This window comes from Homo sapiens, chromosome 3 (genome assembly GCF_000001405.40).
Source record: "Homo sapiens chromosome 3, GRCh38.p14 Primary Assembly".
NCBI classification, from domain to species: domain Eukaryota; kingdom Metazoa; phylum Chordata; class Mammalia; order Primates; family Hominidae; genus Homo; species Homo sapiens.
The window spans coordinates 155,929,993-155,944,231 of record NC_000003.12 but is presented as its reverse complement, the minus strand read 5'-3'; the positions used below and the strand labels follow the sequence as shown (position 1 = coordinate 155,944,231).

Here is a 14,239-nt window from a genome sequence, read left to right as displayed (position 1 = left end):
TTTCTCAAAGTGATTACTTCTTCTAATCTTCATATTGATGACTCACTAGTACATTTACTTTGATGGGTTTAATCAACTCTGATAACATAGTTCCAAACACTTAAAAGGACCTGATTTATGTATTAAATAAAGGTTAATTTGTTCTTGAGAAATTGACAAAAGATTTGGTCAAACGTAAATGAATATGCAATAAGTCACATAAGTCTGTGTGTATATACATATATGACTTTAATTTTATAAGTGCATGTGTATACGCACACCTTTAGCTCATTTAAATAAAAAGCTATCCAATGTTTTATGTCCATTATGTCCCCCGTTAACATTGAGCAAAATGTTAACCCCTACTATATATGCAAGGGAAATAAATTAAGTTGTTATATAGAAACCCTTGACACTATATGCAATTTCTTATGTCCCATATTCTGATAATATCTGTCCTCTTGGCTCTTACTTCTTGGAATTTCTCATAAACACGGAAGCTTCATGACAAATTGTGTAAATCATCATTTCCTCCTTTATGAAGTATATTGAAGACAAAAGGGATTAAAGTCATTTCACATTTAGCAAAGCTATTTTATGGCAACATTGTTACAACACAAAATAGACATTGCAGTTTACAATTAACAATTACACAGTGATTTCATAACAATACTACTTACTCCAATTAACAAAATATTTCTTTATAAAAAATATGTTCAAAAGGAGGTTTACATTCACTTCTTCGTTTAATATCAAGGTTGTTAACAATGGTCTTAGGAGATGCAAAGACGAAAAACTACTTACCTTAAAAATCTGTATTCTTGAAGATATATACTCCACTTGAATAAGATACTGCTCAAGGTTTAGGCTTCCTGGAGAACTCAGAGGATTTTGTAGTTGTACTTAATATACTCAATAGCCAAATTTCCTAAACTTTCATAATTTTGCTAACCAAGGGCCCTTAACAAAGTTAAAAGACACCACAGGGTTCAAAAGTGAACAAATATGTTGTTTTTGTTTTAAGACGGAGTCTCATTCTTGTCACCTAGGCTGGAGTGCAGTGGCGCAATCTCTGCTCACTGCAACCTCCATCTCCCGGGTTTAAGTGATTCTCACACCTCAGCCTTCCGAGTAGCTGGGATTACAGGCGCGCGCCACCAAGCCCAGCTAATTTTTACATTTTTAGTAGAAATGGGGTTTCACCATGTTGGCCACGCTGGTCTCAAACTCCTGACCTCAAGAGATCCGCCCGCCTCGGCCTCCCAAAGTGCTGGGATTACAGGCATGCGCCACTGTGCCTGGTCACAAATATGTTAATGAGCCAATTAAGATGGTGCTGCTCAAATGATTCTAATTCAGGAAACTTAGGTTGCAGCTAGGTAATCTCTAGTTCTCTAAAGAATAATACCCAAATGACAGGATTTATGTGTTGATGCAATAATAGCTCAGTCTGTTTCATGACCTAGCTAGAGTCAGAATTGGAGCGGTGGCTATAGCACAGGGGTGGCTTTCTCCTCTCTGAAGGAAAAGTAAAGAAGTAAGAAGAAAGAGGTTGAAAGAACAGCCTACACAGTTGTTGCCCAGATCTCAAAATTAGCAACAAGTATGTCAGCTGTCCTAATTATTACCAAACAGGTCCTGGGAGTGTCTGACACACAACATAATATAGGTGCAATCAGTTCCAGAATCTGGTTCCTGGATCTGAACTAATTTAGCTATAAGACCTTCAGCAAGACCATCTCTATGGCCTGCATCTCTCTCCTATAGGTTTGACAAAGATTCACCTATGAGTTTGATGAAGACAGGCTAGGTATGGCCCTCAATAAGAATTTATTCTGACTGGGAGATTTAAAACTGTAAATGCTTGCCGGGCGTGGTGGCTCACGCCTGTAATCCCAGCACTCTGAGAGGCCGAGGCGGGCGGATCATGAGGTCGGGAGATCGAGACCATCCTGTATAACACAGTGAAACCCTGTCTCTACTAAAAAGTACAAAAAAATTAGCCGGGCGTAGTGGCGGGCGCCTGTAGTCCCAGCTACTCGGGAGACTGAGGCAGGAGAATGGCGTGAACCCACGAAGCGGAGCTTGCAGTGAGCCGAGATTGTGCCACTGCACTTGGGGACAGAGCGAGACTCTGTCTTAAAAAAAAAACAAAACAAAACTGTAAATGCTTGAGTTCTACCTCCTCCAGATTCTAATTTTATTTAATTGGACATCTGGTTATTGTATTTTTTAACTCCTCAGGTTATGTAATAATACGCATCCAGTGTTGAGGAACACTGACAAAAAGGTTAGAGTTCAGTGAGACACTGAGGCCTCTTCAGTACATAAAAATAGGGTTGGAAGTTAGCATCTTGACACTCTTTGGGGGATTCTATATCTCTTCACTTGCCATTAAGTGAAACGTTCAGAAATTTAAGAGTCAACAATGCCACCATTACTGCTGTCAAAGTCCTTCAGTGATTAAAAAGATACCAGAAAGATACCCTGATCCCTTGATCATCTGGTGGTGTTAAACTACTTCAGTAAGAACAAAAGATGTGCTTTCCAAGGGTGGAGACATCCAACTTGTATTCAGTTCCCCATTACATTCTGGATTTGGGTCAATGAAAGAAGCATCCATTGGGGTGATAGCTAAGGCGTGTCCTCGCCACATATCAATGAGATTTCTGGAGGGGAGTAGTGTGGGAAAGTGGTTATAACATTGCGCAAGCAGATGTCAGAGAATTTCTGAAAGACAGGGCTATCTCTAGAAACTCACTGTAAGTAAGGAGACAATTAACACTTTTGAAGCCCATTTATCCCTGATGGTCAATTACACACTAAGAACTTCCTTTTTTTTTTTTTTTTGAGACTGAGTCTCGCTCTTTCACCAGGCCGGAGTGCAGTGGCACTATCTCAGCTCACTGCAAGCTCCGCCTCCTGGGTTCAGGCCATTCTCCTGCCTCAGCCTCCCGAGTAGCTGGGACTACAGGCACCCGCCACCGCGCCCAGCTAATTTGTTGTATTTTTAGTAGAGATGGGGTTTCACCGTGTTAGCCAAGATGGTCTCGATCTCCTGATCTCGTGATCCACCCACCTCGGCCTCCCAAAGTGCTGGGATTACAGGCATGAGCCACCGCGCCCGGCCAAGAACTTCCTTTTAAGATTTGCCCTGAAGGGCCCTAGAGCATTTCCTCTTCCATGCAGAGAATCAGAAAGCTTGGATTCTAGCTCTAGCTCCCAACAATTAGCTGTATGTAATTGATGATGGGTGACTTCATTAGTGTCAAAGCCAAAGCATATTCTCTGTCAGCTTTTCAAAAAAACACGCAGTAAAGAGAGATTCCTACCAGGAAAACTTTGATGGGTGTTTTTCAAGTGTCATCTCACAGCAGAAGATGCCCCAAGTGGTCAAACCTTGCCAACAGCTTCAAAAAAAGGTAACTAGGATTTAACTTTACGGTGCATTTTGATGTTTCCCTTTGTGTCATATCTGATGATAAAAGAACCTTAAAAAAAAAAAAAAAAAACACTATCCAGCTTCTCCATTCTGTCTCCTGCTTTACTTTCTCTTGTTTACAAAATACAAATTTATAGCTGGATTTGATGCTGAAAATTTAATACAGTTACCTCATGTCACAGATAAAGAACAGAAATGACTTGACCAAGTTCACATTGTTGTTTAACGGCAGGAAAAGCACTAAAGATGGATAGTCCTGCCTTCCTAATTTGAATGCTCTTATTCTCTACAGGTTAGGGTCAAGTTATTCAGTAAAACAGGCTATCAGGAGGTTAAGCCCAAACAGTGAGGAAACAAATTTTATGATGCTTGTTTGACTAAATGCATGCAGTTTACCTCAAGATTAAGGGATTTAAAAAAGGTTAGAAAACAGTGTAACCCTATCTCCTGGATATATCTACAGACTTGTATTTAGGAATTATGCCAGGCTGTTATTTCTAACAGAGCTGATGATCATAGATGTGGCCTTTAAGGCAGGACTGGGTATTTGGTTCTTAAAAATGATTCTGTGCCTGCCAATCTTAGGAATAAATAATGCTTTCAATGATCTACATTCTCTGTCTACCTAAAAAGTACAAAGAAAAAGAATATATTTAATCAAAGAGAGATGTGTCCCAGGTAGATGGTAAGCAACGGGAATAAAGTCATGATATGCCCAGAATAACCAATGATGAATGTTATTAGCCAGGTAGCCACCATTCTAGTCTTAGTAAAATAAGCATCCCATAAATGTTTATATAATTTTAGGTGTCAGAATACACATCAGGACAATCTGGACTAAGGAAACCTGAAATTTAATTCTGAAATTAATTAAGTAACCATGCCTAAGGTGAGCTTGTTTTCTTAACTGTAAAATGGAAGTGCAACCTTTAACTTTCCTCAGTGGCTCAGATGAAATACTGTGAAGGTACAGAGTAATGCTATATGGCACAAAGCAAAAAGTGCTGTGCAAAAGAAGACAGTGTGCTAAATATTAGGAAATTTCTGAGTTCCAGAAAATTTGGATTTTTAAGAAACTATGTCATGTCAAGATGTGCTTTGGAGTAACAATTTTCCCAATATTATATTAAGTATATACTAAGTATATATTAGAAGGGATTATATAAAAGGTGTTCAAAAAACAAATATCAGGAAAACACTAATTTAAGCAGAATTTAACAATTGTTTTTAACTTCAGAATTTCTCAGAGCTTTGAATATTATATACCATGAATCTCCAGGAAAGGACAAGTGAGCTTATGTTCCCCAAACTTATATGACCACCTAATCCTTTTTACATGGACCTTCTCAGTGGAGCAGTGTTCCATAGAACACACATTCTTACTCTCTATTTTTCCAAAATTCCTACTGTTTGCTTCAATACAAAATCATAAGACACTGTGGCTAGAAATTTTTTTTCATATAAACATAAACGTGTACTGACACATGTTGGTAAGCATTTTATAGGTTGTCTATTCTAGCTTTCAAATAACATGACTCTAAATCTGTAAAGACCAGATCACTAACATAGCCTCTTTCCAGAAGGCCATAATGAGTACCTCCTCATCAGATAGAGAATGTACCCTTTAAGTTTTGTAGGAGTCAAGTACCCCTTTGTCTTGGGGACAGATTTCTGTTAAGACAGACAGAAACTCTTCCCTTGCTGGTCCAGCAGCAGTTTTCTTGTTCCCTGGACCAGCCAGAATAAAAAGATGACTTCTGCCACGCATCATTTTGTTGTTTGTCTAACACTGAATCCCAAATAAAATTTCATTCCTGATTAATAGATCTGACCTTTTAAACTAGACAAGCAGCAGCAACCTGAGATGGAATTGTTAAGAGAAAAATATGGTAACATTCTTAGCTAAAATACTGAGAGAAACGGAGAGTTTAAGTCTACTACTGTCTACAGTACTTATGTGAATGTTATAAAAGATCTGTTAGAAACTGGTGGTGATGGCAACAAGTCCTACACCAGTTCTTAAATCCTCTCTTATAGCTAGTAGAAAGGATTACAAAGTTTGGCAAACATCTTGCATGTATCAAGACTGTTCACAGGTGTCTGAGCAATGAATAATATGTCTATAGATTAGATTTAAAAGCTCATTTTACAACTGTTTACTAGATGATATAAACATTTTTCCTCTCCCTTTTGTAAGCTGTAGGTATGCATCATAGCTTCTGTGATCTCAGAACCGTTTCTCTGACCAGCAAAAGAAGAGATGAAAATGCTCCTCTTGACCTCTATCTGCACTACACCAGAAACGTCATTGAGCCAGTTTCTTCTAAGGAGATAACAGAAACTTTCTATGCAAGGCTGTGGGGGGCTGGTAATATAAGGCTAGGAGGATAAAGCTCCTTACTAATAAACAAGCTGACATTGAATAACATGGCATCTATGTGGAACATGGTTTGAAAACATTTTAAGACCATTCATAGACATCTGAGACCACTCATAGTTTCTTCCTCCCAAGGCTGTGAAATAAAATTCAAAAGTACATCAACAAATTCCTGGTGCTTTTCCATCTTATGGTAGCTTACATTTTATACCCTCAGTGTCCTTCAAAAGTGGCTGGAATAGCCCACCTATACCTTTATCTGATATGTTCATCTCTTTTTCACCCTTTGGAGAAATAAGATTACTTATAAGAAAACTGATTCTCCAAAAAGTATATATAAGTAGTAAGTAACACTGGTAAATAATGGGCGTTTCTAACAGTTCTTAGAAACTGGTAAGGAGACAGAAGCCCATAATTACCCCCAAATTCACCCACCTTCATACATATTCACAGAGACATCAACAGTGAATTTATACATAAAGAATAAGTGAGGCAAAGGCAAAAGCAGTATCAATCTGTCTGAGTGTAGGCAATGGTGCTTTGATTATTTACCCGTACAAACTCTTCAGTCCCTTTTGGTTATCCCCAACTCAGCTCTTAAGCCGTAGATTTTTGCTGTGGAGAACTCAGATGTGATGTAGCTGCTCCAGTAACTCTTTTCACAGTACTGCATGTCAATAATGGGAATGATTTCTAATCAATTTAAACTGCACACGGTACTTTAATAGAACAAGAAGTTTATTACTCCCACTCAGTAGTTCCTGGGGGCTTTGATGTTAAGTCATACATAATTCGAGAAATACCAGGAATCTTCTTAATCTCAGTGACCATCTTTAATACCACCTATTAAAAAAAATTATAGAGAAAAGTCAGCATCCACTGCATGTCCAGCAGTCCTAGAGGGCTTACATTTGTAATTTGAAATTAAAATTTGACTATTTTCACTATTGTCCTCCATGTATATGGGATGGTTTCTGATTAATCTTATATAATGAACCTATTCCCCTCTGCAGGGATAGGTGTAAGTTATTAAGGTTTAAAATATTAGTGACTTAAACTCAGTACTACTCAAAGTGTGATCCACAAACAGGTGCTAGTCTGCAAGTTGTGTTTGTGACTGAGCCACAAGTGCTTAAGAACATATAGCGATTTGACATTGCTGTGGCATCCAAGCATGTGATTTTATGTGTTTCAGCCAATGCTCTGCAAATTATCTGCAGCTTAAACATACAACTCTAAGGGCCACCAAGGTGGCACAGAGTACACTGTAATAATCATTATCAAGTATACAGGAGAGGATAGCCTGCTCACTTGTCAAATTTGACAAATTTGAGCCTAAGAGAAAAATGACTCTAAGCCACGTTCCGAACCAACCCATCTACCTAGCTATCACGACAGCTTCGTGTTAGTGCACTGGAGGCAGTGGCCCAACTAATAGAGTCTCACTTTGATTTTCACTTGCTATTATGCAAGTAGCTCCTTTGGAATGTTCTGGTGAAGACAAAGAAGGATCAAAAATTGAGTTGGAATTGGTAGTAGGGAGAACATTTAGGCAATTCTTGGGTGTCTGGCCATAAAGCTATCAAATTGCATCCTTATTTCTAACAAACTCTTCTTCACTCCTAGAGTTTTCTTTTTTATTTGGGGAATACTGTTTGTAAAGTAGAAATTGGCAGGATTAGATAAAATTATAATCAATTACTTTTTATACAGTAATCACACAATTGGAGAGCATATATAATTTAAAGCCTTTTTCTGCCCCAGTGTATTAATCAAATATGTGAAAATTTAAAAAAAAAAGCCTATCTTATGAACAGAAAACCAACATAAGAAATACAGCACTGGCATAGCCTATTCCATTCACCATATTATAAAATGTAAGAGGTACTGAGAACGTGCATTAGAAAAAAATATATAAATTACCTCTACAGGGATCTCATTGCCAGGTGTTGCAGGTATACCAGTCATGAAGTCACTAGTAATAAAGGTTCGAATAACCACAGATCTCTGGCATGAAGGCTGCTTTTGAAGTGGGTCCCGATCAAAATGTAATGGTGTCAAAATCACCGGCATCTGGCTGATTTTCCCAGCATACCCTAGAGAAAGGTATATGTAGAACCAATCACCACACCATAGAAAAGCACTCTAACTCAGTTCAATTAAATCCTCCCAGGCAATATCTGAAATCACATATACACACACAGCGTAGTTAAGACTGTCATCATGCATTGATTTCAGCTACTCGCAGAGCATTTTAAATGGACTTAATCACAAATGCAAAAAACAGAATTTGATCACATCAGTGATGTTTCACTGATGTGCTGTAAACAGAAACAGTCCAGTCTCATTATTCTCTATTATAATTTGCAGTATAGTTATATTCTACACTGCAAACAACGAATTAGCGAATACTGAACCATTTCTCCCAGGGGAAATGGAGGGTTAGGTTCCTGCAAGCCTCTGGTTGTAATATTTTCATCAACTGATTAATATATAACCTTGTTTTATGTGTTTCTGATTTAAGACACTGTATTTAATATTTATTATAGATTCATTAACACTGAACTGACAATCAGTAGCTCTTTAACTCATGCCTGAATGAAGTTTATCTAACACACAGATTTTCTCTGTAAGGTACATCACAGCATTCCTGTGCTTAGGAACCCAGACAGCACTTCAACACTATAGTTGAGATCCATTTTAAACAGCAAAATCACCAACAAAAGACATAAAAATGCAAAAGATATAGCATCAAGGAGACCATGAAAAAGACTTGTTCACATTATGAGAGCTGAAAACAAGAAGGCATAGCGTCACCTTGTTCAAACTCAGCTGGGAACATCTAAGTCTGGAAATTCAAATTTTCTGCTGCTCTGTGCATGTCCACAAATGGCCACAAAGGGGAATATATTTTATTTAGAAGCAACATTATAGGCCAGGTGCAGTGGCTCACGCCTGTAATCCCAACACTCTGGGAGGCCAAGGCTGGCCTGACCTGACTCCTGACCTGATCACATGAGGTTAGGAGTTCGAGATCAGCTGGCCAAAATGGCAAAACCCTATCTCTACTAAAAATACAAAAAACTAGCCAGGTGTGGTGGCGGGTGCCTGTAATCCCAGCTACTCGGGAGGCTGAGGCAGGAGAATCACTTGTAACAGGAGGCAGAGGCTGAAGTGAACCAAGATTGTGCCACTGCACTCCAGCCTGGGCGACAGAGCAAGACAGACTCCGTCTCAAGAAAAAAAAGCAACATCATAGAACATTCAAAGATTTAAATAATAAAAACAAAAGCATCTAAAAAGCAAAAGCCACATCCTCCTACTCTTAATATCAAGCTTCCAAAAACTAGTTTCAGAGGGTAGTAATCAAAAACATGAGCAACTTACCAGACTCCCTGAGAATGTTATGGGCCTCAAAATCAGCTTGGCGTAAAGTACTGAGCACCCCTGTTGTCAAGAAAGTGGGAGTAACATCTGTAGGAGGTTCTTTAACTGGTGGGCCAAATATATAAACAACTCTGGAAACAAAGAGGTAAAAATAATACAGCAATTACATTTCAAATGTAGAAATTACATTTTAGTATGAGAAGCAAGGCACTTAGAACAGTAACATTCTTTCCATTTCCCACTTAGTTTCAGGCCCTTCTCCTGCCCACTTCAACTCCCCAGATGGATAGGACAAGATATAAGATTATAGGAAGGTCTGTGTTCTACGTGTTTTCCTCAAAGTGTGTTCTCTGGAATATTCTGTATCTCAGAATGTGCAAAGATATAAGTGATTATTACAACTCTCTTTTCACTTAATGTACTGGGTCGAAGAGTATCCCCAAAACTTCATGCCCACCCAGAATCTCTGGGGAGAAAAAGGGTCTTTGCAAATGTAATCAAGTTAAAATGAAGTAATACTGGATTAGGATGGGCTCTAATCCAATGACTGGTATCCTTCCAAGTGCTGGGAAATTTGGATACACAGATACCCACAGGGGAATGAGGGTCATGTGAACACAAAGACAGACTGGACTATGCTGCCACCACTCGATAGTAGGAAGAAGCAAGGAAGGATCCTCCCCTAGAGTCTTCAGAGAGAATATGACCCTGCCAACACTGAATTCAGACTTCTGGCCTCCTAAACTGTGAGAGAATAAATGTCTGTTGTTTTAAGCCTCCTAGTTTGTGGTGATTTGTTATGGGTAGTCCTAGGAAACAAATACACAATTAAAATTTAAAAATAGGTGTCTTTATGACAAGACTTCAGAAACTATTAATATACTATGCTAACATGCACTGGAAATCTCCAAGAGGAAACTACAGTGAATTTCCCAAAATTAGTAAACTCATCTTTTTTTCTCTACTTGAGAAACAATCATTCTAGAGAGATTCTCATTTGCACTTCATTAAAAAGGCCATTGAAATAGGACTTAGTATCCTACTACTTCCTTCCAAAAAAATGATTCATTAGTGTTTTATATAAATGTCTGTTTGAAAGACATGAAGATACACCACAAATATCTTGAGTTAATGAGAGTACAGTTTGGAACATAACTTGAGGAAATTAGAATCAGACAATTTTAACAACTTGAAGTGTAGCTGGCCACTGGTTTGAAGGGATCTGTTTCACAATCTTCACCCAGAAAACAAGAGGGAATCAGGGTAGAGATATGAGTGCCACTTAGCTAGTTCTCCCTATTCACTTTTCGTTAGTCCTGTTTTTAGCAAAGAAAATAAATCTCCCCGGAAACTATCATGGTAAAGTTTAATGTTTTTTCTTCTTTTCTTAATATGTACTTAGGTAAAATACACAATAGAAAACCATATTAGCACAAAACCACCGGTATCACCAACTACTTTATTGTCTCCTTCCAAACATACTACAACAGAAGCAAGGTTTTTGTCCCACGTATAGACAGTAAGTTATAATTTTTCTAAACAATACAGTTCCTAAAGTTCATAAAAGATCTTTACAGGAGAAAGTTAAGAGAATGCCATGAACCTGCTCTTTTCACCTTCTCATTTCTTACAAACAAAAGTAATCACTAGAGTGTACTGGGACAGGTATTTACCCACACTATATATGACAGTAAAACTGGAACAGTCCCTCCCTGTACAAAGATTCCCTTATCCAAATTAGGAAAAAAACCGGCAAACAGGGAAGAATATTTTTAAACTCCAATTCATCAAAAAGACCCCAGCAAATAAATCTAAAGTTCACCAAGATTCTTTTTTTTTTCTTTTTCCTTTTTTTGAGATGAAGTCTCGCTCTGTCGCCCAGGCTTGAGTGCAGTGGTGCAATCTCAGCTCACTGCAAGCTCTGTCTCCCGGGTTCACACCATTCTTCTGCCTCAGCCTCCCGAGTAGCTGGGACTACAGGCACACACCACCATGCCTGGCTAATTTTTGTATTTTTTGTAGAGATGGAGTTTCACCATGTTGCCCAGGCTGGTCTCAAACTCCTGGGCTCAAGTGATCCACTCGCCTTGGCCTCTCAAAGTGGTGGGATTACAGGCGTGAGCCACCATGCCTGGCCCCCATTATTGAAGATAGTAATAATTCTATTTTTCAGCATTTTAAAGATGCTTCTGTATTTGACGGTTTTCAGTTCATTTGAGTAAGCCTTTGAATGAGCATGTTCCCATCGGTAAAAACATGGCTTCCCTGTAACTCCTTATCTCGAACTATACAGACTCTGCTAGCTTAACATTAAAAGGTAAGCTTCTGATTTCTGCAGCAATTTGAGTAAAATGAAACCTCAAGTAATTCTTTTTGGTTGTTAACTGCCTAACACCCATGAAGAAAACTGAACAGAGAGAATAACTGTGAAGTAAGAACATTTAATTAGCAATCTAGTACAAAATAAGTGAATTTTTGAACTATATATGGTACGATGAAATTGAGGATTAGAAATAGATTATAAATCAGCTGTTGATATATCCAATGTAAGAAGTTAATATGCAAATTAAAGGGAAATTAATCTAAATGTAAATTATATATTTAAATGTAACTATTTTAATGCTATCTGGCACATGCCTATTTCTTTTCTTTGATTTTTTTCCTTGGGGTTACTACTAAATTAACCAAGTCTCCATTTTTGTTTGGAGTGGGGGTTGTTTGTTTTGTAGGGGTGTGTGTGTGTGTGTGTGTGTGTGTGTGTGTGTGTGTTACTTTATTTGTAATTCTGTAACCTGGACATACTTTTTTCAATCCTTCTGGAATAAAACATGTTACCATAAAACCAACAGCTAATATAAACCACTAATTTAGAAGATGTTTTACAGCTGCCTTTAATATTTTACACTAAAATAAAAATCTTTCTCCTTTAAATAATTTTTAACAGATGACTACATTGTGATGAAGAGTCAAAACACAAGATAATATTAAATATCTACTTAACTGCAACCTATGTGCATATTTGAATTACAAACACAGCCATTTACTCTTATCTACATGACCTACCTATATCTACATTTGAGCCTTTTGGTCTTCCATTAATTGAAAGCCCTTAAGAAATACATCCTTCCATTACACAAGCCCCCACCCTAGCTCCTGTGAAACACACCTGTTAACGTTGTGACACATGCGAGGTATAAGCCTAGCCAGAAAAATAAGTGATTCCCAGTCAGGTTCATCTTTACTGGAGATTCCACACACGTAACTGTAGGAACGACAGTCACCCTGAAAATAAAAAGATAATCAATAATTTTTAATAGTCAAAAGATACACCAGTTTAACTTGACAAAGCTTTTTTTTTTTTTTAAAAAAAAAAGAAAAGATGCATTGAAAAATATCTTATGCATGGTGACATTATTAATGGATTTTTGGAAATTTTGAATGAAAGTATATACTAAATGCTTCTTTAATGGTATAAATAAATTCCAAATTAAAATCCCATATTAAATCCTACCTGAATCAGCTAAGACATACATAAAGTATCATGGTAATATCAAGAATTTAGGCTGGGCACAGTGGTTCATGCCTGTAATCCCAGCACTTTGGGAGGCCGAGGTGGGCAGATCACCTGAGGTCATGAGTTCAAGACCAGCCTGGCCAACATGATGAAACCCCATCTCTACTAAAAATACAAAAATTAGCCAGGCATGGTGGCATGAACCTGTAGTCCCAGCTACTCGGGAGGCTGAGGCAGGAGAACTGCTTGATCCTGGGAGGTGGAGGTTGCAGTGAGCTGAGAGATCGTATCACTGCACTCCAGCCTGGGTGACAGAGTGAAACTCTGTCTCAAAAAAAAAAAAAGTATTCAACATTCCCATTACCTGCACAACTGTGGATAACCAGCATATTTAATTTGGCAGACAAGGCCAGGTACAGAAGCTCACACCTATAATCCTAGCACTTTGGGAGGCCGAGGTGGGTGGGTCAGTTGAGCCCAGAAGTTTGAGACCAGCCTGGACAACATGGCAACACCCTGTCTCTACAAAATATACAAAAATTAGCTGGGCAGTGTGGTGGCATGCACCTGTAGTCCCTGCTACTCAGGAAGCTGAGATAGGAGGATCACCTGAGCCCAACGAGGTCGAGGCTATCGTGAGCAGTGATCATGCCACTGTACTCTAGCCTGGGCAACAGAGTAAGACCCCATCTCAAAAAAATAAAATAAAATTATGAAAAATTATAATTTGGCAGACAAGATCTGCCTGTGTTTTTTGAGTGGATAAAGAATTCTTAAGTGGGAGACAAAAACAATTCATAAACATTTACTTATCAACGTGTTTAAGTATCAGCTTAAAAGTTAATTTTATGGGGTTGTTTGTTTTGTTCTTGTAAATTTGTTTGAGTTCACTGTAGATTCTGGATATTAGCCCTTTGTCAGATAAGTAGGTTGCGAAAATTTTCTTCCATTTTGTAGGTTGCCTGTTCACTCTGATGGTAGTTTCTTTTGCTGTGCAGAAGCTCTTTAGTTTAATTAGATCCCATTTGTCAATTTTGGCTTTTGTTGCCATTGCTTTTGGTGTTTTGGACATGAAGTCCTTGCCCATGCCTATGTCCTGAATGGTAATGCCTAGGTTTTCTTCTAGGGTTTTTATGGTTTTAGGTCTAACGTTTAAATCTTTAATCCATCTTGAATTGATTTTTGTATAAGGTGTAAGGAAGGGATCCAGTTTCAGCTTTCTACATATGGCTAGCCAGTTTTCCCAGCACCGTTTATTAAATAGGGAATCCTTTCCCCATTGCTTGTTTTTCTCAGGTTTGTCAAAGATCAGATAGTTGTAGGTATGTGGCGTTATTTCTGAGGGCTCTGTTCTGTTCCATTGATCTATATCTCTGTTTTGGTACCAGTACCATGCTGTTTTGGTTACTGTAGCGTTGTAGTATAGTTTGAAGTCAGGTAGTGTGATGCCTCCAGCTTTGTTCTTTTGGCTTAGGATTGACTTGGCGATGCGGGCTCTTTTTTGGTTCCATATGAACTTTAGTTTTTTCCAATTCTGTGA

The 14,239-nt window shown here is 38.2% G+C and overlaps 1 protein-coding gene across 6 annotated transcripts in view; it reads right to left on the bottom strand.

The window, feature by feature from the left end:
* Window positions 1–211: 211 nt before the first annotated feature.
* Window positions 212–14,239, bottom strand: part of GMPS (guanine monophosphate synthase) — a 74,591-nt gene continuing 60,563 nt past the window's right edge. For all 6 annotated transcript variants that reach the window (XM_011513263.3, XM_047449145.1, XM_017007422.2 and 3 more), the window contains 4 exons: window positions 12,352–12,467; window positions 9,186–9,316; window positions 7,722–7,894; window positions 212–6,641 (listed from right to left, as the gene is read on the bottom strand). In XM_011513263.3, the coding sequence (XP_011511565.1) occupies window positions 6,540–6,641; window positions 7,722–7,894; window positions 9,186–9,316; window positions 12,352–12,467 (522 nt within the window). In that variant the 3' untranslated portion in view covers window positions 212–6,539. The remainder of the gene's footprint in view (window positions 6,642–7,721; window positions 7,895–9,185; window positions 9,317–12,351; window positions 12,468–14,239) is intronic.